We start from the raw sequence: 27,352 nt of genomic DNA on the forward strand, positions 1-27,352 counted from the left end.
TCTCAACTCACTGCAACCTCTGCCTCCTGGGTTCAAGCGATTCTCCTGCCTCAGCCTCCCAAGTAGCTGGGATTATGGATGCCCACCACCATGCCCAGCTAATTTTTGCATTTTTAGTAGAGATGGGGTTTCACTATATTGGCCAGGCTGGTCTTGAACTCCTGACCTCAGGTGATCCACCCACCTCAGCCTCCCAAAGTGCTGGGTTACAGGCATCAGCCACATCTTATTCCTTCTATCTAACTGTAGTTTTGTACCAATGAAACAACCCCATTTTATTATCTCCCCTCCTCACTACCCTATGTTAACTGACAAATACTATAGCACTATCAGAAATATGAAATTTTAGAAAAGAAATGTAATCAATTTATGACATATATTAAGATTCAGGTGTTAGGCAAGTTTTTCACTTTGTTATATTCGCGTACTTGGCAGTTTAATGTCTAATTGCTTTCAATTATAGCTTTAACATGTTTGAGACTTATCTCTTTTCAGAAGATCCTGCTTCTTGACACTAACTTATTTATCTTTTTAACAGTATTTCCATTATACTAAAGATTGCAGAAAGCCTCCAAGTCAAATACTGTGCTGACACAAGACACAGTGCTTAAACTCCCTAAGGAATGAAAGGCTCATCTCTGATTTACTCTTTCTAATAAGGAGACTCTTCTTCAATGCTCCAACATCAACAAGTTGAATCTATTCAACTGCATAAAAATGCAGATCTCTCTGCTGGAATTCTTCTTGGAAAAACCCTATTTCAAACTCATCTTATTATCTGAATTGTTTTTATACATTTAATTTTCTTGGCTGAATTGCTCCCCAGTTAATCTTCCTCAATCCAGCCGTGCCATTCAGGTTGTTCATAAGCTGACGGTGAATACTAATGTAACCAACAAAGGAGTTTTTCCTGAGCACTGCGTAAAGAAAGACCACTGCATTGTAGTGGAGAAAGTGTTTAATGGACACGGGGCTGGGCACAGCTCCTAGGGCAGGGGTTTTTCAAAGGCAGTTTGGATGAAGGGGTGGGGTGGCTGGTAACAGGTGCTTGCTGCTGATTGGTTGGGAAGAAGATGGACTCACAGTGGGAGTCGAAGCTGTCCTCCTGCTGGCTGAATCATTTCTGGTTGGGGCCACAGAGTGGGGTTGGCAGGTCCAGGTGGAACCATGGGTGTTAGACATGAAAAAAACCTGAAAATATATGTCAAAGTTCAATCTTAGGTTCCACAGTAGAGATTCTATTTGCAGCAGTAATTGGAGAAGTTGCGTATCTTACACCTCTGGAATAATGGCTGACAATCGTTTACGTCTCAGCCTTAGAAAGACCTAGTCTCCTCTCCTTCCCTGAGCCTGATGGCTTTACAAAAGTGGTTGAGTTTTCTGGTAAGGCCTATTATCATTTACAATGTAGCCTACATTTCTTCCAGAGTTGGCTCTGCCAATTAGCCCAGGAATAATTAACGGAAAGGCAAGATGGAGGTGGGTTAGCTTAGCTTACTGTTACAATTTTTGTCATTGATATAATTTTTGCAAAGGTAATTTCACTGTTATTCAAGCTTTTTTTTCTTTTTCTTTTTTTAGACAGATTCTCCCTCTGTCACCCAGGCTAGAGTGCAGTGGCACAATTTCGGCTGACGGCAATCTCCATCTTCTGGGTTCAAGCAATTGATCCTCCTTTAGTACTCAAGCTTTTATTACACATGCTCCATCAGGCAGGATTTTGTCCATCTTCATCTTCTATAGTTTATATTATGAGAATAATAATGACTTTCATTTTATAGCATAAAATTATATAACATTGAAGGTGTTTTGAAAGCAGCCTCTATACCTATTATTGCTCTTAATCATTTTTGTTATCAAGAGAACAAAATGTTTATCTCTTTCTATATCAGGAAGTGACTTCAAATGTCTCTGCTTATGACAATCAGTCATTAAAAATAGCTTGCCTCACCATTTTTTCTTCCACTCCCTCAAAAACATTTTTTTCTTAGACATAAATCTTTATTAAAAGTCTCTGCATGTTGTATAAAAGATTTCCAGGGGTATGTAGAATATATTTGTGGCACTTTTGTCAGAGGTGTTTGAACTAGAGCAAATCCATCTTGAATAGAAGCTGGGTAAAATGAGGCTGAGACCTACTGGGCTCATTCCCAGATGGTTAATGCATTCTAAGTCACAGGTTGAGATGGAAGGTCAGCATATGATACACGTCATAAAGACCTTGCTGATAAAACAGGTTGCAGTAAAGACGTCGGCCAAAACCCACCAAAACCAAGATGGCGATGAGAGTGACCTCTGGTTGTCCTCACTGCTGCACTCCCACCAGCGCCATGACAGTTTACAGATGCCAAAGCAACATCAGGAAGTTACCCTATATGGTCTAAAAAAGGGAGGCATGAATAATCCACCCCTCCTTTAGCATATTATCAAGAAATAAGCATAAATATGAGCAACCAGCAGCCTTTGGGGCTTTTCTATCTATGGAGTAGCCATTCTTTTATTCCTTTACTTTCCTAATAAACTTGCTTTCACTTTATGGACTCATCCTGAATTATTCTTGCGTGAGATCCACGAACCCTTTTTTGGGGTCTGGATAGGACCCCTTTCCTGTAACATCTTTCTGGTGACCACGGAAGGGACTGTAGTGCAGAAACCCCCGATCCAAAGGCTAACTTCGGGTAAGTGGTGGGGTCTGGAAACATCTTTTTCCTGAACCCTGAAGGGATGATACTAAAGAAACCCTGCAACCCAAAGGAAATAGACTGCAGTGCTGATCGGCTGACTTTGGGTAAGTGGTGAGGTACCCGGGGAAAGGATGGGATTGGGTTATAGGCCCAATTTAGGGGAGTTAGAGTCTCTCCTAAGACAGAGTTGGTTACAGGCCCCTCTTAATAAAAGGCAAGGATGCTTGATCAACCTTGGGTTAGAGGCCCACCTCAGGAGGGTTAAAGTCCCTTCTAAGATTTAAGGGGTTAGAGGCCTCTCTCCATAAAATACCTTACATCTAAGAATGGGTTTGGCACCACGGGATGTTAACTGCTATTCTCTTTGGAATAATCTGCCTTTTACACTCAACAGCCTGAGCTTTTCAGTGTCAGCTGCAATTGGTGGGTCTTTTCTCTGGCCCCCTTGAACACCTCACCTTCCCCACCCTGCCACAGGCAATGCTTTTCTGTCTCTTCTTACCCTTATCTTTTCTATTACTCGGGGAGACCATCTTGCCCAAAGACCACAGGTTAAAACTCCTGGTTGGAGGTTGGATTAACTATGATGGGCCCCAACTGGGGACAAGTTTTAGCCTTGCCAGTTTGATATTGGGTGCTAAGCATAGTGGCTAATGTCTATGTTTTGTAACATGTATTTTGCTCTGGCCAAAATGGAAAAAAAATACTTTTCCCTTTTGTTGTGGCTTGGCCCCCAGGGCTAGAGTGCAGCCAGCCGGGTCATTAGGGTGTGTCAAGGAAAGAGAACAAAGAAACCTGGCATACTGGCAAAAGGGGAAGGATTTCTTACTAGCTAGGCTTCTGGTCTCTCTCTCTTTCTCTCTCTCTCTCTATGCAAATCGGCTGAATGAGAGGTAAAAATCACTGTTTATCTCCTTTGTAAAGTTTTGATTAATGGAAGAAAGATTTTGTGAGGCTAGGCTTAAACTGTAGGAATCTAGTGTGCTTTGTGTGTCTTTCTGTATTTTTCTGTCATAAAGAGGGGTACCTTAGGAAAGATTGGGGCCTAGGACCCCTATACACCTGGTTTTCAAGATGGCCCAGCAAACTGGTCAATTACAAATTTTGCTGCAGGTCACAGAAAAATCTATATGAGGTTTTCTTGTTGTCTTTTATGTCCTTGGGAGCTTGACCTTGTAACCATGTGGCCATGGTTTCTTTTTTCACAACGGTAACCTGGGTTTGAGGTTCAATTCCCAGCTTAGGGGATGAGTCATTTATCTTCTTCTGTCTGTGTACTTACATGCATTATGTGTGATATAAATATTAATTGGTTTATAAATAATAAGTGCATAAATCAAATATTTTGTAAAAAAAAGTGAAAAGTTTAATGTCTTTTAGTTCAAATGACTTAAGTAATCTTTGGGAAATAAAGACAGTTTTAAAGATTATTGGTAAAATATAAATATCTTCAAAAATGTAAATATTTGCTCTAAATTATACAGGTCAGATATTAAATTTGCTAAATGCTTTAAGGTCATAAACTACTTCTTTGACTTTTGAAAATTGTTCTATTTATTTTGGAGAATTAAATTCTGTGTAAGGCCTGGGACATGTGGACTTAGATGCTGGAAAGAGTCAGACTTTATCTGCACTTCTGTCTGGGTCATAGGCTTCATACCTAGTACATAATTAAAATCCCTTACTTACCAAGGTTTTCACCAAAGTAACAGTCACTAAGAGTTAACAGTGTAACATGTATTTGAGACTACTGAAGAAACAGTTTTACAAGCAAGGTGTATACCAAAAGTGAAATGAGTTTTTGGTAAAAGATTATCAGAAGGCATGGGAATGTGAATTTTTTTTTTTTTTTGCCTAAAGGGTTAAAGGATTGTTTTAAGTTAAATAGGAAAAATCTGAAGGTTTAAGCAAATTGTGGAAAGTTTGTGAAAAATTAATTGTAAAAGAGATTCTATGTGTGGAAACTGGGCTAAAGTTAAAAATGTATTTAGTTTTTCCATAAACTAAACATTGGAGTAAAAGCACAACAGGTTGTTTTTAAAGCCGAAACCTGTTTATGATCTGCTCTTTAACAAAAATTTGTAAAGGGTTATAAAAGGTTTATAAAAATCATACCTTATGGTCAGACTGATTAAAATTAAATACATTTGTCTATAAGGTTTTATTAAGAACTGGGTTTGACATCAATAATACATGAATGAAACAGTGACATTTGCTTTATTTGGTATAAAAGTCATATAGGAAGCATTATCAAATGTGAAATGGTGTTTAACTTTCTTTAGGTTATATGCATATAAATTTTTTATTAGTGTGTGTTTCAAAATTGCATAAGATTCCTATAATTCTAATATGCCTCAGTATATGTCATCAGTAATGATTATAATTGTTACATTAAATCACTGTATATGCAACAAAGGTAACCAAATTGCTTTGTCAATCATGTTTTTAACTGTGGCTGTCCTAAGATGTTTTGACATCCATACACAATTGTTGTCTTGTTTTTGTCCTCTTTAGAAGGTGGTTTATAATCAGCTATAGAACTCTAACAGGTGTTCTTAAATACAGGTTTCTGATAACTTTGAAGATTGTGACACTAGAATAGAAGAAACAACTTTCAGAACTCTCGTGGAAAACTGGAATGTTCATGAATATTAAACAGAACAGGAGTTAACTGCATGGACTGAACTACAGAAGCTATTCACAGCTTGAAGCAATTAAGTAAAGTATACTCCTATAAACAAAATTTGGAGCATATTTGTTTCTCTCTACCTAATTTCTCCAGAATTTGGAAACTATTTGTAAGTATTCTTAATTTACAGCAATATAGTTATTTGCCTAAATGCAATAGGTATCTGTTTTTCTTTGCAACAAGACACAGTTGGAGAAACTGGTTATTTTACCAGTGCTTTCCCTGGAATGGTATGTTTTCCTTTAAGGAATCAAATTTGACTTGTAAAGCCAATAAAAGACCCTTGGAGAACTAGCCTCATATCTTGCCTACACAGTCCCTTTACAGGGTTTCTGACCTGTGGTAAGTAAAGAATGTCACTTTCTAACAAGTCCAGGAGCCCCAAGTTATCTTGGGATCTCAAGAGGAGAAGAATTTACCCAACTCATAGGTATTTGAAGGTACAAACTCATGGCAGGGCTCAGCTCTAAAAAAGTCTTATCTAAGATTCCTTCTATGGAACAGAGTTCCATCCAAACCAATTTAAAAAGAGCTTATGTGAAAAATAATTATTCTTGCTGCACTTTATACAAATAATCAGGCCAAGGATAATAAAGCAAATGGATCTTATCATGATTTGTCTTTATTAAAAATAGAAAACTGGAGAGAACTATTATGTTTCAAGAACTATGGTACACTTATTATTAAATTCTAGTCTCACCAGTTGTTTTTAAGTTTGTTTCTGAAATTTAGGCTAACCCTCCTTATTCCTGTAAACCAACCAGGACCTGTGATGGCTGCTCAGAAGAAACAAGAGGGTTGGGTAATGTAAAAATCTGAATCAGTATTCTAATTCTGGGCATATACTGGAATCATGTAGTAACCCCATATTAGCTTGGTTCCAACAGTTGTCCAGTTCATGGAAAGTCTTCTAATTTAGTGTACTTGGGCTATGTTACTTATTTTGCTCGTCTTTTGTGGAATTTATTGCTGTTGTACTCTTTATGTAGGAATGAGGATAAGCTTACTCAACATTTTCTTAAATTAAACACTTACTAATCTCCCAGATATCATCTGCTGTCAGAACTAAAGAACTATGAATGACCCTCACCATACTGATGCTTTCTGACTGAATGCCTCTCTACTCTGAATACGAGAGATTGTCATATTTAGACAGGAATATCATTGCCCCTATTCAGCCTGAAGAAGTTACAGAAGATGAATGTTCATCTCTGTGCAACCCTTAGGATTAAGGGTGCTCTTATAAAAGGGAGAGGGAAAATGTCAGAGGTGTTCAAATCAGAGCAACTCCATCTTGAATAATTGCTGGTAAAATGAGGCTGAGACCTACGGGGCTGCATTCACAGATAGTTAAAACATTCTAAGTCACAGGATGAGAGAGGAGGTCAGCACAAGATATAGGTCGTAAAGACCTTGCTGATAAAACAGGTTGCAGTAAAGAAGCCAGCCAAAACCCACCAAAACCAAGATGGTGATGAGAGTGACTTTTGGTTGTCCTCACTACTACTCTTCCACCAGCACCAGGACAGTTTACAGGTGCCATGGCAACATCAGGAAGTTACCCTATATGGTCTAAAAAGTAGAGGCCTGAATATGGGATAGCCATATTCAGGCTGCTATGGAGTAGTAGTACTATGGAGTAGCCACTCTTTTATTCCTTTACTTTTTTTATAAACTTGCTTTCACTTTACTCTATGGACTCGCCCTGAATTCTTTCTTGCAGAAGATCCGAGAACCATCTCTTGGGGTCTGGATCTGGACCCCTTTCCTTTAACAGTCTCACCACTTACTAGTAAGTTTCTTACAAAATTGTTATTTTCCTGGTCTTATAAAGTGTTCATTAATATATAGAATAGACTTTACACATAAATTATGCCAGTACAATTAAACTGAGTAACAATATTTGAAACCTTTAACTATACTTTTCTAGATAAATGTATCTCAATAGTTATACTTTAAGGAGTTATAATTCTATCTTTCTGTCACAAAGAGCAATTTTTCAAAATGGCTTGAAGGAATCCACATACTCATAACACACATTTATACTCAAACTTTGAGGATAATAATATATTGAATATCCCCCCCCCCCAAATTAAAACAAGTTTCTTTTTGGATAAATTCTAGGTAATTTTTAGTTCAATACTCTTCTACAGGAACACACAAGCTTAAGTTAACTGTATTATAGTTCTGACTACTTTTACTGCCAGCAGAGAATCTGTATGGGTCTGCAGCAACCTCAATTCTTGCCTTCTCAGAAGAAAGAATTCGACAGAGGGGCATAAGGCAGAAAGAGAGCCTGAGGCAAATTTTAGAGCAGAAGTGAAAGTTTATTAAAAAGCTTTAGAGCAGGAATGGAAGGAAGTAAAGTACACTTGGAAGAGGGCCAAGCTGGCAACTTGAGAGATCAAGTATGCAGTTTGACCTTTTGAGTTGAGGTTTTATATGTTGGCATATTTCTGGGGTCTTGCATCCCTTCTTCTCAATTCTTCCCTTGGGGTGGGATGCTTGCATGTGCATTGACCTGCTAGCACTTGGGAGGTGAACATGTACAGTGAATTTACCGGAGCTGTATGCACGCTCACTTGAGGCATTCTTCCCTTACCAGTCGAATGTTCCTAGAATGTCATGTACCAGTTAAATTTTGCCATTTTGCCTCTTAATGCGCATGCTTGAGTCCACTCACCCAACTCCTGAGATCTTATCAGGAAGCTACTGAACACCAATTTCAGGGTTTTTTCTATCTATCAGGAGACTGCTTTTCCCTGGTGTCATCTGTGACCAATTATTATTTTAGAGAGACAGTTAACCACCTGATGGTCACTTGACATTCGTGGTGTGTGTGTGTGTGTGTGTGTGTGTGTGTGTGTGTGTGTGTACTGGGGGGAGCCCTCTCCTGCCCCGCTCATGCCTGACTAGCTACCTACTGTAACACTTCTTGTTTCTTTTTTTAAAAAATAGTGTCCAGAGTAACGGTGATCACTACCAAAAAATCAAAATCAGAAGCTCTTGAATATTTATTCAGCATGTTATCAATTATTAACAACAGAAGCTCATTACATTTAGTTATTTAGAAGTATATGTTGAGATTCAGTTTTCCCCTCAGATATTCCCTTCTACAAATTCCTTATTGATATTTTTCTATAGCCAGTAATGGTGTATGCTTTACATTGTTCTTTTCAAGCAAAGTTTATGAGAACCATAACCTAATTTAAAATTTTGGAGTTTTGAGCATTAATTTTTATTCACATTGAAGTGAAACCAGAACTTTTTTGAGTAAATTTTGCAGCTGTCCACTCTAGTTCCTCTGTGACCATGTGTGCGTGCAGGTGAGGTTATCACGGAAGTTCTCAGATGAGGTCATTAGAGAGTGATGACTCTGCCTTCCCTCAGGTGATTTGTTACATGATGAGCATAGTGTATGTGAAGTTCAGTTTTTTGTCAGATTATGTAACCTTGAATTCACTGCTGCCTTCATCAGAACTTTGGCTATGCAATCAGTATTCCTTGAGGACTTAATAAAAATAAAGTTTATTCACTTGAGGAGTTAAAAAAATACATATGCCTAAGACTCACCTATAGAAATTCTGATTCTGTTATTTGGGGATAGGAATATGGCAACTCTATTTTTCTTTTAAAACCCATGGTTGATTCTGAAAAATAATGAGGATTAGAAACTACGTTTATAAGTACTTTAAGTTACATTCCTGAATCATGTCAGAGAACTTCAAACTCCCAATTGCCAGAAAAAGCTGTAAATTTGATTTGAACTTTTTTAGGAGACTAAACTCTGAGGCTGCACGTATTAGAACAGTCTCATCCAACCTCCTGGAATCCATTGAGTCTATTTGTATTACGGGCTTGGGGTGAGACCTGGAGCATCGTGATGGTACAGAATGTACTGCACATTGAGGTACTTCATTACATGAGATCCTGTCTAGACAGTGGGACAGGAAAAGATTCCCAAACAATGCCAAGACCCTCTTCCTGTTGAACTCATCTCCACTGAACCCCTGTGAACTGCCCCCGCAACCCCCACTTCCTTCAGGAGTCAGATCAGACTCTGGTTCCCACATTATTTTGTTTGAATCTCTATCAACAGCTTTTATTATCCTGATGGGTTAGAGTTAGTCATGTGTTTCTTGGTCTTTCCCTGAGTCTTCCCTTTGAGTAAACAGATATTGACTTTCCAGCACTTTTCCCATCAGCATCATCCAACATAATGTCTTTCAAAAAGGTGTGTTCAGTGAAGAGATGTTCCTAGATCCCAAATATAAGCTGAATCCTAAGAACATAACTGATATTGCTTCGTTTGCAAAGTTAATATACAATCAGTTATAACAATTTCCTTCTTGAGCTAGTTTTTTATTACTTGTCACAATTAATACTGTAACAAATTTTCACACACTTAGTGGCTAAAACAACACAAGCTTATTATCTCACAGTTCTGTAGATCAGAAATCCAGGTAGAATTCACTGGTTCCTCCACATACCACCTTCCAAAGCCAAAATCAAGGTGTCAGCTTATTCGTATTTTGTTGTGCTAGGAGAGGATCCACTTAGCTCATTTAAGTTGTTGGCTACGCTTAGTGTCTTGCGGTTGTAGGCCCCAGTGCCTATTACTATGCTGGCTGTCACCTGGGAGCCTCTCTCAGCTCCTGAAGACCATTTGCATTCTTTGTCTTGTCTCCAGCCAACAAGCAGGAGTCCTTTTTATGCATCCGGTACCTCTGATCTCCCTTTCTGATGTATGTCTCCTGTCTCTAGCTTGAAAAATGTTCTCTCCTTTTAAGTGCTTATGTGATGCCATTGGGCCCTGGTGATCCAAAATAATCTCCCCGTTGTGATTATATCTGCAAAGTCTGTTTTGTTATGAAACATAAAATATTCACAGATTTTAGGGTTTTAGGGAATGGACATACTTGGGGATGGTTTTTCTACCTGCTAGACTTTTGTACACCTATTGTCACTCTACTTTTCCCCTGTCCATTTGCTATTTACCACTGTAACTCATGAGGTTTTCTGCCATCATGTATCACTTTTTCATAGAGCTAGTCTAATTGTATTAGTCAGGGTTCTCCAGGATGGATGGATGAATAGATAGATAGATAGGTAGGTAGATAGATAGATAGATAGATAGATAGATAGATAGATAGATAGACAAGCGGTAATTCATTAGGGGAAGTGGCTCATAGTATTACGTAGTCTGAGAAGTCAGTCTCATGATAGGCTCTGTGCAAGCTGGAGACCCTGGGTTGCAGGTAGCCTGGCTCGGTCCAAGTCTGAAGGCATCAGAGCCAGGGAAGCCAAAGGTATAACTCTCTGTCCAAGGCTAAGTAAGGTGGGAGAGGCTTAGAAGCTGCTGGCACAAGTCACAGAGTCCAAAGACCAAAGAGCCTAGAGTTTTAATGTCCAAGGGCAGGGTAAGAAGGGTGTCCCCACTCCAGGAGCAACAGAATTCATATTTTATTTGCCTTTTTGTTCCACAGGGACCCCCAGCCTACTGGATGTTTCTGATCACCTTGAGGGTGAATCTTTCCAATCAGTCCACTGAGGCACATGCCAATCTCCTCGGAAACACCCTCACAAATACACCCAGAAATAATGGTTTTTCATCTATCTAGGTTATTTCTTAATCCAGTCAAAATGACACCAAAAATTAACCATCACACTAATGCTTAATCAAAAGGCTGGTGAGATGCTACCTCTTTAGGTAGATTCTGGTAAATAGCTGGGAACTATTGATACCACAACCTCTCTTCCCTCCCAAAGAAATACTGATACTTTGGAACTAGTTTTCTTCCTTCTTATTCTTATTCCAACTAAGCCTTAGCACACCATGGTCCAGAATATACTGGCTTCATATTTGATTATCTCTGAGCTCATAACATGTCTTCACTTTAGAAGCTGCAGAGAATATTTTTCTGAATTTATATAAATACTCTTTCTTATTAACTTACAAGAATGAGCATGAGTCATTTAAAATGTGTGATTCCCAATGGATTTAATCTACAATTTGTTCTTTAAATGCAGAAAAATAAATGGGATATTGGAGATGTGTTCTCGTGGAGTTTACCAAAAGAAAACAATGTACATTTAAATTGCAAATTCAAGATTTGTTTCACTTTAAAAAGAACCAACCCTGTCTTAAAGTACAATAGCATTTTGTGTTAAAGGCTAAATTACTAAAACACATTTATTTAAAATAAAATCATAATAGTCTCAAGAGCTGCATCTTATCACACTTACTTGTCAGCAAAAAATAGTGTTGTGTACAGATGGCAGCAATGATGTAATGTAATGTATGTCAAGAATATTTGTTAAGATAACATTGGGGGCCAAGACTTTATAGCAACTGCAGTCCTTTCTTGGTGAGCTTGCTTTTAAAAAACGATTTCTCATCCATTCAGACAGGTTCTTTTGCTGAAAGTCTCCAAAGACTGTTTCATTATCGTACCTTTTCAATGACTTTCCATAAAGGAATACAAGATGTGAATCTGGCTTTTAATATGTGCCATTTAAAGTAGTTATCAATGATACATTAGTCATTCCATCCAGTACCCCTGTGAGGTGAGTGAGTGAATAATTATAGGTGACCTTCAGACAAGTGAGGATCTAATGTAGCCTTGAAGGCTTCTAAGTATGGGGTGTTTTCTTTGATGAGTGAGTAATCACTGAGTTATTAGCATGACATTTGAGAAGTCATTAGGGATTTGTAAGTAAAACAAATCTATTTTTCTTAGTCATGATAATGGGCTACTGTTCTAACCTGTAATGCTGGATTTTAGCTTTTTCTTTTCTTATCTCAAGATTTATCTCTTAATAGGTATATTTTCCTTCAGGAAAGGACACAAAGTTGGAGCTATCAGAAGCAACAATGTTTAATAAAAACAATTTTTTTCAGCTGTAAAACAAAAGAAAAAGTCAAGAAAAACATGGATTCCTATTTTCTCTTCCATGACTAATTTGAAAAACAATAACAACAATAAAAAAGCCATTTCAAAGCAATTCTAAATATCTAACTCTAGTTTATAAAACTGACCTGTTCAGTTGCTTTGAATGAATCATTTATCCTGTTAGTTACTTCATTAAATCTGTCAAACTATCTCAGCTTCTCTGGAGGCTGAAGCGGGAGGATCACTGGCGCACAGGAGTTTGAGGCTGCAGTGATCTATGACCATGCCACTGCACTCCAGCCTGGGTGACAAGGTAAGACCCTGTCTCAGAAAAAAAAAAAAAAAAAAGACTATAAACAGTGTATGGAAAGACATTTGCCATCCATTTTTGTATTCCCCATACCCTGAATAGAGTAGGAGCTTAATAAGTATTTGTTGAATAATGTTGCCAATTTCTTTTGGTATTCACTTTTATTGAATAACCTCTTTCTCTACCTCAAAGTTATAGGAAAGGAAGGGAAAAGAAGTAGGGAGTGGGTGAAGCATTCTCTGCTTTTGATACTTTTTCTGGTTGAGTCAGATTCAAGAAAAGAAACAATTTAAGCAGTAAGGGATTCAGTACTGACTCTACCAACATTTATTTTTGCTTATTCAATGCACAAAAAGAATGATGAGAAATCATTTCTCTCTAGTTTAATGTTATTTCCCATTTTTTATTTCGATATATATTCCAACCTGTTAACTTTATTTCTTCTTTCCTGTGATGATCTCCCCCATTCCCTCTTCTGCAGCATTTTCTCTTCTTGTTATTCAATTAACAAGAGACCCTAGGATAACAACCTTTCTTCTTTACAGACTAATTGTTCTTTTTTCTTAGACATAAAAAACTAGATGGGCATACAAATATACATCAATTGAGTTGTGAAGGTTAAAAACGATTCACTTTTCTTTTCATCTTTTCTTCATTTTCCTCATGCTTTTTTTCTATTCATGTTTTCAATGCCCATCTTCAATTTTACTTATCTTTCTGTTCTTTAGAGATAATTAGCAGTGTGTCACTTTTTACACTCAATCTCCAAGGCAGAATCTACTTCATAATTAGTTTGAATAGTTATGCCAACCTGAGCAGTCCTTGGCAGCAGTTTAGTTAGGTACTAGAAGCATATGGTAAGGATTTTGTTCAGTATATAGCAGAATCAATATGAAGTTGAGTTAAATTTATTTATTGTAACAACACCTGAAAGCAAGCTTTCATTTAAAGCAAGACACACTTGCCTTAATCAGATGGTCAATAATTGCAACAACTAAGAGAAATTGAATTGCTTTACTCAGAAATTGCATCATTTATTTAAGGAGGGGAGAAAATATTACTGAAATTGTCTTCCAACTCTTTCAGAATTGGTTTGCCCTGTATTAGGAACAAGTACAAAAGACTGATAAGAAGAGCCTTTATCATTTCATCTGGAGGATACTTATAAGGTCTAACTATCTATCAACAAAAACTCTTGTTCATACATCGATTCATTCATTCATTTACTCACTGAACAAACATTTATTGAGCTACTAGCATGTGTCAGGGCACTGTGCTAAGAACTAAGACAAATTTTTTTTGCTTATCCACAAAAATTTGCTTATTACAAATTTTTATCTTAGTTTGGGCAAAACCACCCAGTGAGTAAGTAGCAGAGATAAGATGATAAGAATACTGACCTCTTTCTTCTATGAGTCCTAAGTGAAAAGTCTTGCAGTGGAAATTTCCAAACTCATTTACTGAGAACGCAGCTGTACAAAATTGGCCAAGCTTAATATAAAATAAAATGGAGAGTTTTTTTTATAGCTAATTTACTGTTTATATAGTTTTTAAATGCACCATGTTTAGTTTCCATGGAATCTGTGAACTTGTGGGGAATATAGTGTACTTTTCTAAGGTCAGATGCTTAAGTTCTTTCAAACATCTGACATAAGAGTTAAAGTGAGAGACAGGATGATTACAGAAAGTGGGTGGAACAGGCACCATGGATACTCCATGCTGAAAATGTGTGGCCTTAAAATTTTTGAAGGGTCTTTTGAGTTAGCTGATGTGATTGCTTCTAAAGCTCTAAACTCACTACAGTAAGTAGAGCTGCTTTTAAATGTGCCCACAGCCCCAGAATTTTCTCTTCACTCCCCTTTACCACCTGGTTGTACTGACACACAGTTATACAACTAAACTCAACACAGATAGGAAATAAACTACAAGGTCCCATTTTCTTTCCCTACTCTCTCATCTATAGTAGTTCTTCTCATTTCCTATTTCTGAAAAATGGGCATCTTCCCATGTACCTCATACTACTATGAAAATAAATTAATAAATGAAAATAAGTCGGCTGGGCATGGGGGCTCATGCTTGTAATCCCAGCACTTTGAGAGGCTGAGGCAGGAGGTTCAGTTGAGGTCAGAGTTTGAGACCAGCCTGGCCAACATGGTGAAACCCCATCTCTACTAAAAATGGAAAAATTAACCGGGTGTGGTGGTACATGCCTGTAATCCCAGCTACTCAGGAAGCTGAGGCAGGAGAATTGCTTGAACCCAGGAGCCAAGAAGCAGAGGTTGAAGTGAGCTGAGATCACACCATTGCATTCTAGCCTGGGCGACAGAATGAGACTCTGTCTCAAAAAAAAAAAAAAAAAAAGAATAAAATAAGTCTATGCAGAGACTTATTTAAATATGATAATGCAATTTAAGTTTCCTAATCGTTCATTCTGAAGGGCAACGTTGGTAAAGGAGAAAGTATTCAATGCTTAGCTAACAGTTTTGCAAGAGTTGCCCTTATATAACTCGAAACCAAGTCACTTTTGATATTTTTGGCGTATTTGTACCTTTTTGAAAAAATGTTTTGAGAAAGCCATAAATGAGAGATTTGTAGATGCAGTTATAATTGTCAATATTCTTAAAGAAAGTAATATAAATTTTGGGGGAAAGACTCCCTCTCACCCAGTAAGCTTCTAATAGCGAATCTAGCTCAGATGAATAAGAAAATTATTATTGAGCAAACATTTTAGTGATATTATTCCTTTTGCTTCCACCTTTTCTCTGCAATAAATGTGAAAGCCAGTTACCTGATGATATTATTCTTTATCTGCAGTTTCCAGCTGGCGAAGGAACACCCCAAGGATCCCATGACAATACTTCATATTTCAAAGCCTATAACTTCAGGATAATAATGTCTTATATTTGTAATATGCTTTCATGTTTCACAATTTACAAAGAATTTTTACATGAATTGCCTTTTTGTTTCTTAAAAAATCACTTAAGATGGGTAAGGCAAGAATCCTTCCTTTCATTTTATAGATGAGCCATGTGATGTCAGAAGTGTGATGTGCCATGCTCCACTACAGACAGGAAGTGGAATAGCCAGGAACTTGAATCCAAGCCTTCTTATGCCAAAATTCTCCTTTGATACGTGAAGGCAGCCTCATCACTCCAAAGGTAAATGAAATCATTAGGTAGCAAATGAAGACCCAAAGAACATTTTTATTGACTCTCTATTGCTGAATATTTGTTTTTTTCCTACAAATCTTTCTCAGATCCATTCTTTGTTTTACAATGCAAACTCATCCCATGATATATCAAAGAAAAGCAAATAAACTGAATTGTTGATTCTAGAAGAATATATGGAGGGTTTAATTCAGTCAGTTTAATCTCTTGCAACCAAGAACCCTAATAAACTGTGACAAATACACCATCAGCGAAATTGGCAAGTTGTTCAACTTTATTGTCTTCAAGTTTTTTAACTTTAAAATGGGGATTATAATTATACCTACCTCAGATAATCATATGAGAACTAAATGATTTAATACGTATAATGCTCTTACTAAAGTACCTGGAACACAATAGGCACTATGATGGTTAGCAATGATTAACTATTATTAGTGAATAGGTTATAATGATAACACATTAACTGGTGCTTTAATTATTCCAAGTAGTTTTAAAATCACACGAATTTAAATAAACTTTCTCTTTCTTTTTTTAAGATTTTCACATATTATTTCAAAGGCTGAGGTTTTCAAACAGAAAAGATAAGTTTTATTGAGATTAAGTAACCTCCAGGGTTAGAGTTTAGAAAAGAAGGTCAGTGCTACACATTCTGAATGTGTTTTGGACTTACACATTTTTAGATATTTCGACCTAGGAGCATCCTGGCAGTTTCAGACTAAGCATAGAGTGCTCTCTTGCTTCAGTAATTGGCACTTAGAGTAATAATTACATCAATCATGCTGTCCAGAAACATACAGTATTTAGACTTAATGGGAAGAAAACAACTTATTAGAAAAATTCTGTTAATAATGTTAATCTTCTGTATTACGCCCCTGTGCATATATCAACAGAAATGAATGACCACATTTGAGAGACTAAAAGTTCTCCTCAATTCATGATTCTGTTCACTGCATTCTCTTACCAGTGAGGCCCAGTCTTCAGGGAATTGACAGCTTGTTATTAGTTATTCATTTTGAAATAAAACCTCTTTTTTGTAGGATATGGAGTTCAGATAGGAAATAGATGGATTAATGGCTAATTTTAAAAGGAAGAAGGGAGGGAGGGAGGAAGAAGAAAAGAAAGGAGAGAAGAAAGGAAAGGAGAGAAGAGAAGGTGAAAGGGGTGGAGGAAGGGAAGATTGGAGGAAGGTAGGAAGAATTTAGAATTCTTTTAGTTTCAAATAACAGGTAAAGAAAAACAAACCTCCAGCTAGTTTAAGAAAATTTACTTTGTGAATACTCAAGTGTCTCACACAACTAAAGACCACAAATGCATCTGAGTGTTGAGGACGATTAGAACTAGAGTGAAGGTACTATCAAGAATTTTTGTCCATATTTTTTTAATGTGGGAAACAAGACTGTGAACAGTTCCTAAATTTTACATGTAAGAATCAACCATACCATGGAGATTGACTTGATATTTTCTTTGTCCAAGACCTCAATTCCTAGCGAAGGAATTTACTGGTCTAGATTTAGTGAAGTTAGAGCCTCAGTCCCACTCGCTGTGACTGGGGTGGGAAGGGAAAGAAGTGGGGCATTGTAATCAGCCCAGTTTGGGTGAATTATATACTCTTCAACCAATCACCTATGGTCAGGGGTCAGGGTCATTACTAATTTGCTTGTGCCTGCTCCCACTATGTGAAGGTAAGGGAGAATAGTTGCTAGAAAAGGGGTATAGACAGGTAGCCCTATTGCATTCCACTGAAATTCATTTGTTTATAAAACATTCATACAACTAATGTTTAATGAGCAACATCGATGTTCTAGGTGCTGGGGGTACAGCAATAAACAAAACAAACACACTGAACTTATAGAGAGCTTGCATTGTTTTTATTAGACAATGATTTCAGAACATTATGGTTACTATTCCCATTATTTTACACCCACCTCCAGAGAACTTAAACTACCCAAAGTTTTTGTTTGTTTGTTTAATTTTTTAAACTTGGAGCTAAAATTAGTTCTTACACCATTCAATTTGAACACAGTAAAAAGATTTGGGTTTGGATGATACGCTGCTACTCTTGGTTGATCAAAGTCTGAAGTGTCTACCAGGAGGTTGCATGTTTCAATGTTAGTGTTTTTTACCCACTTTTTTCTTAGGTTTTCTTTTTTTCTTTTCTTTTCTTTTTAGATCTTTCTACTTGTTCCTCAAAGGAGCAGTCTATTTTTAATTTAGTAAGTTATAGCCTTGGAACCTAATTTGGTAAGCCTTCTGAGACTTGAAAAACTTGGCCTTTCTTCATGGGAAGTCTCACATGCCAGGCCTCTGAGAAGTTCATGACCATTTTAGCTAAACTTCCTTTGATAAGTGCAGAGAAGATTAGGGCACATAAAACAGGCTAGTGGAGGCTGGCCGCGGTGGCTCACACCTGTAATCCCAGCACTTTGGGAGGCCGAGGCGAGTGGATCACTTGAGGTCAGGAGTTTGAGACCAGCCTGGCCAACATGGTGAAACCCCATCTCTACTAAAAATATAAAAATTAGCAAGGGGTGGTGGCATGTGCTTGTAGCCCCAGCTAGTCAGGAGGCTGAAGCAGGAGAATTGCTTGAACCTGGGAGGCGGAGGTTGCGGTGAGCCGAGATTGTGCCACTGCAGTCCAGCCTGGGCCACAGAGTGAGAATCTGTCTTAAAAAAAAAAAAAAAAAGCCAGTTTGGTGGAGTGGAATGTTCTTCCTGAGGTCTGGTGGAGTGGAATGTTCTTGCTGAGGTCAGATGTCCAATTTTACGTTCTGAGAAGAAAGCTAAAACTACTGGCTTTAGGATGAAGAGTGGGCAGCCATCCTAATGTGAGAAAATGCCAGGCATTATGCAGTATACGAAGGCATAAAAGGCATTAGTAGCAGAGTGGAAATACTTTGGAAATAGTACTCAGTCAATAAAAGGAAATGAGATGAAGCCTCATCTCAGTTAGGAAGAACCAGAGAGTGTAATTATCTGTAAAAATATTTTATTCAATTTGTTTCATAAGACAAAATTGCCATCTATAAAAAAATTAGGTCCTATTCATGAATAGACACTTCTCAAAAGATGACATTCATGCGGCCAACAAACATGAAAAAAGCCTCAACACCATTGATCATTAGAGAAATGCAAATCAAAACCACAATGAGCTACTATCTCATGCCAGTCAGAATGGCAATTATTAAAAAGCCAAGAAACAACAGATGCTGGCAAGGCTATGGAGAAATAGGAATGATTTTACACTGTTGGTGGGAATGTAAATTAGTTCAACCATTGTGGAAGACAGTGTGGTGATTCTTCAAAGACCAAGAACCAGAAATACATTTGACCCAGTAATCCCACTGGGTATATACCCAGTGCTATATACCCAAATGAATATAAATCATTCTATTAAAAAGATACATGCATGTGTATATTCATTGCAGCACTATTCACAATAACAAAGACATGGACTCAACCTAAATGGCTATCAGTGATAGACCGGATAAAGAAAATGTAGTACATAAAACCATGAAATACTATGCAGCCATAAAAAGAACAGGATCATGTCCTTTGCAGGGGCATGGATGTAGCTCAAAGCCATTATCCTCAGCAAACCAATGCAAGAAACAGAAAACCAAACACTGCATGTTCTCACTTATAAGTGGGAGCTGAATAATGAGAACACATGGACCCAGGGAGGGGAACAGCGCACACTGGGGCCTGTCCAGGGGTGGAGCCGGGGGAGGGAGAGTATCAGGTTAAATGGTTAATTCATGTGGGGCTTAATACCTAGGTGATGGGTTGATAGGTGCAGCAAACCACCATGGAACACATTTACCATTGTGACAAACCTACACGTCCTGCATATGTATCCTGGAACTTAAAACAAAATTAAATGAAATTTTTAAAAATGAGGTTTTATTGAAAGAAAAAATGAAGAATGTTATTTGCTAACTTCCCATTATTAATGATTTATTAGCATTAAAGATATTCACCATTAAAAGCAAATTTTCTTAACTGAAATGTTAAAGAATGTATTAAAGAAGGCCCTGCTTCCTGATTTTGCTAAATTAGTGGTTTTCAAAGATGTAAACATGCAAGTAATTTCTAAATAAAATACATGACATGGTGAAAATATTTTTTTAATTAAGGAGACATAGAGTGCCATTGACCAGTTTGAAATTGTCTCTAGCTCATAGTAGATGCCAATAAAGTTTAAGTGGATTGTACCTTATAGTTTGGTAAGTTATTTTACTTCTTTTGTGGTTTAAGATGGAATGTATAATAAATAGGACACTCATCAGCTTTTTTAAAGGAGGCAATACAAAATACTACACTAGACAAATTACTCTAGATTTGAATGGCAATATTTCCATATGTATGTCCAATGTTCTTCAACACTACATACTATTATGTTTAATGAGAGAGAAAGAACTTTTAAATTGCACATTATTTTGCATATAGAAGGTATGCAATGCATTTATTTAAATGAATTGTGCTAAATTATACAAGAAGAACTTATACACACTGGGTTCCTCTTGACTCAAATATCCCTGAAAGTTGAAGTGTTTTGCATGTTGGTCAGTATTTCTGCATTTGCACGTAGCCAGAAGATTGATTGCCACTCAAAATCATCAGCAGCAGACCCATAAAGTATGTGTTCCTCTCTATGGTATTTCTGTGTTTTGCTACAAGCAAAACTCTGTAAAATAAACACAACAACTCTCGTTGCATTAGAGATGAAGTTGTCACAATCATTCTAGTTCATATCCAGATGATATTAAAAATAGGGTTTTTCACAAGGTAAGCAACAGGGAAATTACATTTCCTAGATTCAGGTCCCCTGCACAATTTCCAAGTGGTGTAGCATCAACATCAGGCAAGCCGTTTGATTTTATGACAATGTGTTTACAAATATATTAAGGGTGGAATTTTCAGCACCCTGAATGGGATTTGAGATTCAGTTCTTGCTTATCATACCCATGGATGCTTATCTATAGTTGTGTCTCTTGGCAAGATGATAAAAATGAGTCCAGTGTTTATTTTTGTTCCTCTTTGGTTTAAACTATCCCCCCACCAAAAAAGCAAACAAACAAACAAACAAAAAAAACCATTTAGATTATATTTTAAGTGACAAAAGGACACATTAATTAAAGGTTATGGAGTGAATGTTCCAGAAAAGATGTCACTCATACAGAAAGCTTCAGTAAGGAGTCATTTTTGAATACTGAGAAGTCCCAAATAAAATACAATGTAAATTGCAGTAGCTTATCAAAACTAACATACATCTCATGAACTATTCAACAGTTCTCCGTTACATAGTATGAAATTAAAATTCGTATGTTTTACTCTAAGGTCTAGTCCCCGTTGTCTCATATTTTTGATGGATAAACATTACTGGGATATTACTTTAAGTAACTTACTTTTCCTCTGTTCTTTTTTTTAATATACAAGTTTAATTTTAAACTTTTTGCACTTGGCAATGTATAATATATTGGAATTAGTTCAAGGGCTACAGTTTCCTACAAAGATAAAAGTTAAAGTTAAGTACAGTGTAACCTTTTCCAGAAAAATTTCCTGAATTTTTTTTAGATTCAAAAAACGGAGGCAAGTTTAAGAACATTTGCCAAAGATTATGGTGATTTTAGAGTCTGTCCATGGCTTTAGTGTAGACCCTTTTTCTGGGCTAATGCAGATTTTAGAGAGAATAACAGCCTCTTTTTTTTGTTTTGACTTTCTCTGGTACTGTTTGTGCCTTTCTCCTTCACACAGTCCATTTCCTTTATGTTGTGCTGGGTCTACATCAGTAATCAGGAAAAGAGAATTAAAGTAAAATGTGTTTTTCCACCTAAAAAGTACAAATTGTTTTTTCTTTCACCTCACTTAATTTTGTTAGCCTTGCTGAAATAACTTTGAAAAACTACCAGGGAAATGTGTCAGCCAAAGGCAAGACCTGTCCAGTTTAAAATTAAAACTTTGACTTGAAGTTCTGGCAGTTTAGTTTTGAAAAATTGTTGTGTTTGGGGGAGCAATTATAGCGCTGAGTAAGAGAGAGATGAGAGCTGAAGAATTTTGAATGCACAGTAAGATTTTTGAAATGAGTGGAGGTAGGGCATCAATCCATAAACAGATACAAAAAAAATAGCAAAATAAATTTTAAAAAAAAGAGAAATAGATCTCATGTCTCAAGGAATAGTCCTTTTTGGGGTACCATCTATTTTACTTGGTGTTCATAGCTCTGTGTTATGGCTTTTATTTCTCTAAAACAAGGGGCAAAATAATTAGCACTGCTTTTGTTGTTGTTATTTTTTCTCTTGAACTAGAGTCTTGAGTTTAGATTTTTGTATATTGTACGTTTAACTTTGGGCAAGTGAGCAAATCTCCTTAATGCTCACATTTCTCATGGGTAAATAGAAGCTAAGAAAGAATACTTACCTTGCAGGTATATTGGAAGGAAGAGAAGTAAAATATATTAAATTCTGGACACTTCTAAAAGTCTAACAAAAAGTAACTGGTGGAGCTGCTATGGAGGATGGAGACTGGAGGGAGGGCTAAGGCTAGCCAAAGGGTGGAATCTTCACTGTAGGCTCCAACAGTCAGTTAAACCAGAAAGAGTTGATTGTTGGTGGAAGCCTGCTCTGGGTTGATAGAATAGATGTGCAAAGAGTGCTGACTTGGGGTCAAGGGTTATATCCAATGGTGTCACTAACCTACTCCTGGAAGCCAATGATGAGAGATCATAGAGCCCTAGGCAATGTGAGTTATAGCCTAGGGCACAGGCAGCCAAGGAAAATGTCCATCCTTTAGAGCAGATTGAGTGCATATCAACAGTGAGCTCAAAGGCTAATGGTGTACACAAATTGACTAGGGTCAACAAAGGCAGTGCACTACAGAATTGGCAGTAAACCTTTCCCTACTAGGAAAAACAAACTTTTAAAAAGAAATAAAGAATATCCAACATGGCCCAAAAGGACTTCCATCATCTATCTCCAGCCTGCCTTAATGCTCACTGTGAGCCATTCCCTTTCTCTCTGAGCCCCAATCACACACGATTTCTGTGAGCAACTTTAAGTATTACATGTCTTATATTTAAGGCTCTTTTTTTATGTAGCACTTACAAATGCCTACATTTCCTTTGATGTTTATTGAATGACCTTTTTAAAGGCAATCCTTACCTGTTAAATCTCTAATCTCTGCCAATATACTATTTTGTAATCCTGTAATATTGTGCCATCCTCCTTCTTGTCATTAATAGTAACTTAGTTAAATAAGTGAGGATCTAATTGGTCATTTAAAGTTTCTTAACTTGCTTTTTATTTTTTTTTTGAGAACAGGGATTTTGTCTATCTTATTCAGCCAGTCCTAATATGATCAGTGCTTAGCATGGAATCTTACATAACATGGGAAATTAATAAGTATTTGCTAAGTGATTGAATAGTAATCAGACAGATAAACTTAAAAGCCTTAAGTCTAAGCCTAAGAACCTTAGAAACAACAATAGGTGAGAATCAGAAAAGTCTATTACTAGGGATGGGAGAGAAAAGGAAAACAGAGATTAAATGGGGAATAAAATGAAACCAGGCTTCCTAATTTAGGGGTTTATTGATCTATTGATGAAATACTTTGAAGCTTAAATATTCTGTGCTAAAGTTAGGGCTTTAATGCATGCAATGAAGAAAGTCTGTACATGGTTTCTCCTTACGTTGTCCTGTTTTTTTTTTTTTTTAACTAATACATTTGGTGATTGCCAAACTGTGATTCAAATAAGCTTTAGTGTTAATAAAAACTGGTACCTAAACTGAGTAAAGCCACCTTGTTAGTCATATCTTTTAGTAAGAATGATGCTTAATATTGATGTCAGGTATTGAGTAATTTCATATATTTTCTCACTTAATCTTATTAACCCTCTGAGGTAAGCATTATTTGAATTTTACAGGTGAGGACGTTAAAGTTCAAAGGGGGTAAGTAATTTGTCTGAAGTTATACAGCTGTTATGGGGCAGCGCTGAAATTTGAACTCAATCATAAGTTATTGCAAAGCTCATTTTCTTAACTCTTACGCTATACTAGAAATAGTATGACTGGTGCTGGCCTGCTTTTATTGCTTTATCAGTTTAGACAAGATTTTATAAAATGGTATCCAAATGTGAATTTTTTCTATGTATCAGAAAGCCTGAGTCTTCTGGCAAGAATCTACTTAACAAGTCAGGATTATTTTTCTATGCGACTTTCCTTTCCTTTACTTCTATTACTTCTTTTAAGTAAATAAAGTGAAAGAACATATACAAACACTTTGAACTCGCCACTATATCTTGGCAGGAAATAGACTTCATATCAGTAGATTTGGAACCAAATTGAAGCATTTCCAAAGATGTTAACAGATTGCAATAAAACTTGGTACACTGGTGAGAGTAAATCTAGAAAAACAACAACAACAAAAAGCAACCCTGAAATTTAAGCAAATAAAAGGCCCGTTATATTTCAATGTAACCTTTTTGTTTGTCTGCTTTCCTGTTCTCTCTTCTCTCATGTTAATTGTATTTCATTAGCTTCTATTATTTCTCATTAATTTATTTTAAATATTTTTCAGACCAATATCTTCTTGCATCTCTTCCTCGAATAATGGTTTTCCAAGCTTCCATGTTTATAGACTTGGCCCCTCTCCACGGTCCTGTCTATACATTGCTATGAATTTACATACTCTGCCCCTTCCTGCCAAAGACTGGATCTAGAGTATGCTAATAATGATTCCTTCATAGAATTACAAGGCTCTCAAGGAGACTGCATTTTGCATTTATTTCCAGCTTATGGCCAATTATCAAATAAAGAAAACTTATGTTTTACTCTGCATAAAGAACTGGATGAAAGTGAAATAGTACATTGTTGGGATATTTGACCCTTTTATACTCATCAGTGTTTAAAATTCCTTTAGTAGAAAAGTTTACATGAAGTAAAATGTGCACATCTGAAGTGAATTTTAAGAGGCCTGACAAATTTATCCACCCGTGTAAGCTACACTCCTATTAAGATATAGCTGCCGCACCAAAAAGTTTTTTCCTCCATGATCCTTCTCCATAAATCCTCCTCAATTCACAAAGGCAAATGCTTTACTGATTTTTTTTTACTATAGTTTGCTTATTGCAGAGGTTAAATAAATGCAATCCCACAGTAAGTATTCTGTAAATGACTTGTTTCATGCAGCATAATGTCTATAAAATTAATTCATATTGTTGCTTATGTATAGCAATAGTTCATTAATTTTTATTGCTGAATAGCATTTTATTGTATTTATACTGCAATTGTTTTCCCATTTTCCTGGTGCTGAGATATGGATTGTTTCCAATTTGGGACTCTTAAGAATAAGGCTGCTAGAAACACTCTTGTACAAGACTTTTAGAGAATGTATGTTTTCATTTCTCTTGGATAAATACTTAGTCATTGAATTATTGGGCCATAGGATACATGTCTATAGACATTTGTAAGAAAGTACCAAAAACATTTAGATCCCCATCATCACTGTCTGAGTGTTCTGGTTGTTACACATTGTCAACACTTGGTTTTGTCAGTCTTTAAATTTTAGCCATTCTATTAGGTGTTTGGTAGTACTTCATTGTGACTTTAATTTGCATTCCCTTGGTGACTAATGATGTTGAAGTCTTTTTGGTTTTATTAACAAGTTGAATATCTTACTTTCAAAGTGTCTAGTTTTTTGTCCTTCTTTCTCTAATGGAGCTGTCTTTTCATTGTGGAGTTTCAGGAGTTCTTCATATATTCTAGATGCAAGTCCTATTTGGCAAATATTTTTCCTAGCCTGCAGCTTGCTTATACATTTTCTTAATGCATTTTGATGAGAAGTTTTAAATGTTGATAAAGCATAATTTAATTTTTCCTTATGATTATTGCTTTCTGTGTACTGCTACAAAATCTTTGCCTATTTGCAGGTTGCAGTGGAACTCTTCTTATGTTTTCTTCTAAAAGCTTCATAAATTTAGCTTTTCCCCAAATTTCTTACCTAATTGTTTACATTTTTTTACCTAAAATATTACACTTTGCAATGGGCTACATAGATACCCAGTAGATGTTCTTTCTATGTTAGTTATCAATGAACCATACTACTCCTGACTCTTTTGCAAGTATTTGACTCCATTTTTCCTTCTTCATCCCTCTAGTCTAAAGGAAAGGTTTTATATAAATACTGTGTATAATTTAGGATCTCGTCAGAAAGGAAAAACTACCCTTAGTATTTCAGACAAAGAGAATTTAATTCAGAGTTGGTTACAGGAATGTTGGGGAGAGGAGTTAGAGAAACAAGAGGGGAAAGTAGTTTTACCAGATGCTTAGTAACTGTGGACTCCAGAGTTGAAGGAGCAAAAGAGAAGCAGATCTTTCCCAGCTCTTGAGGTCACTGCTGTTACAAGTTCCTGCTGTTAGCACTAGGACCTGCCCTCCCAGGCCTCTGGCATTGTGTCTCCTGTCATTAATGCTAATCCTGCTCCCCTGCTGCTGAAGATGACACTGGAAACTGGGAAGATGAAGAAAGTCACTCTTCTGTCTCTCTTTTCTTCAATCTCCCAACAGTGCCTTTCATTGGCAGAACTGAAACAGAAACTAATTTTTAAGGGAGTCTGGGAAATAGAATCTGTAGATTTCTAGCCACTAAAATAGAGAGAAGAGCACATCAAAACAAGAAATTGGCTAATAGCACCAAAATAATTGACCAGCATAGAAGCCATCAGGTCCTGTCTCATAAAATAGCTTTTTGGGTTGTAGGACTTTAAGTCTACAATCATCATGTTGCTGCAGATGACTGATGGACAGCAAATATTTGTTTGAGGCCTTCCCATGCCTTCCCTAAGATTCTGTGCAGCTTATTTAAGTCATGAACCAAACAAAAACCTCAGTAAAATACTATTTTTATCCTTACTCCTCCCACAAAATATAAATCAGGACATAAAGCGAGAGCCATCTGCTGAGGAAGTCCTGACCAAGCAGGTTCCCAAGGCCCCCCTCATCTATATTCACAGCTCCAGGGCTTCTCTGGGCTTTGAGGTCATTGAGCTGCTGACTGGAGCAATCCCACAGCCTCATGTGGCCAGAAAAATGTTTGTGGAGACAAAAATTATACTATAAAATTATAATCCCTTCCCATATAATTGCATTGAATAATACAAACAGGAGAATGAACCAGTGTAAAACATTCTAGGGAGGAGAAGCACTCCAGAATGGTGGCATGAGGAGCTGTGCAAAGTCTCCCCAGAAAAACAACTGTAACAAGTAAGTCAAATTTGCAAACAAACAAACAAACAAACAAAAAAACAAAGTCTCAGAAAATTATCTTAAGCAAATGGAAAAAGAATTTATGCAAGAAAATCTATGAAATCTTGGTGAGAACAGTGGGCATCTGTGGCATCTGAGCAATGGCCCCACTCTCTTCCCGCCTCCAGCCCTGTGTGATGGAAGTCTCTGGACAGATACAGCCAAGAATAGGAGGCACAGTCAGGGGTCTGTCTTTACTTGGAATAAAGTGTGAGGGAAGTTCAAGCCTGAAGGCACTGTGAAAATAATGGAGATTTTAGCTAAGAAGCACCTTTCTAGAGTATAAGCCAGCCTCAAAGACTGGCCTTAAAA

At 36.9% G+C, this 27,352-nt stretch overlaps 1 long non-coding RNA gene across 2 annotated transcripts in view; it reads left to right on the top strand.

The window, feature by feature from the left end:
- The first annotated feature begins 1,114 nt into the window (after positions 1-1,114).
- LOC105378814 (uncharacterized) overlaps positions 1,115-27,352 on the top strand; it is a 34,806-nt gene continuing 8,568 nt past the window's right edge. The window contains exons 1-4 of one of the 2 annotated variants that reach the window (XR_947532.3): positions 1,115-1,383; positions 5,250-5,482; positions 15,597-15,734; positions 24,315-24,387. This is a non-coding gene — a long non-coding RNA (uncharacterized LOC105378814). Of the gene's footprint in view, positions 1,384-5,249; positions 5,483-15,596; positions 15,735-24,314; positions 24,388-27,352 lie in introns of those variants that run through there. The other variant, XR_947533.2, reaches the window with a different exon arrangement.

This window comes from Homo sapiens, chromosome 1, assembly GCF_000001405.40.
Source record: "Homo sapiens chromosome 1, GRCh38.p14 Primary Assembly".
Classification (NCBI taxonomy): Eukaryota; Metazoa; Chordata; class Mammalia; order Primates; family Hominidae; genus Homo; species Homo sapiens.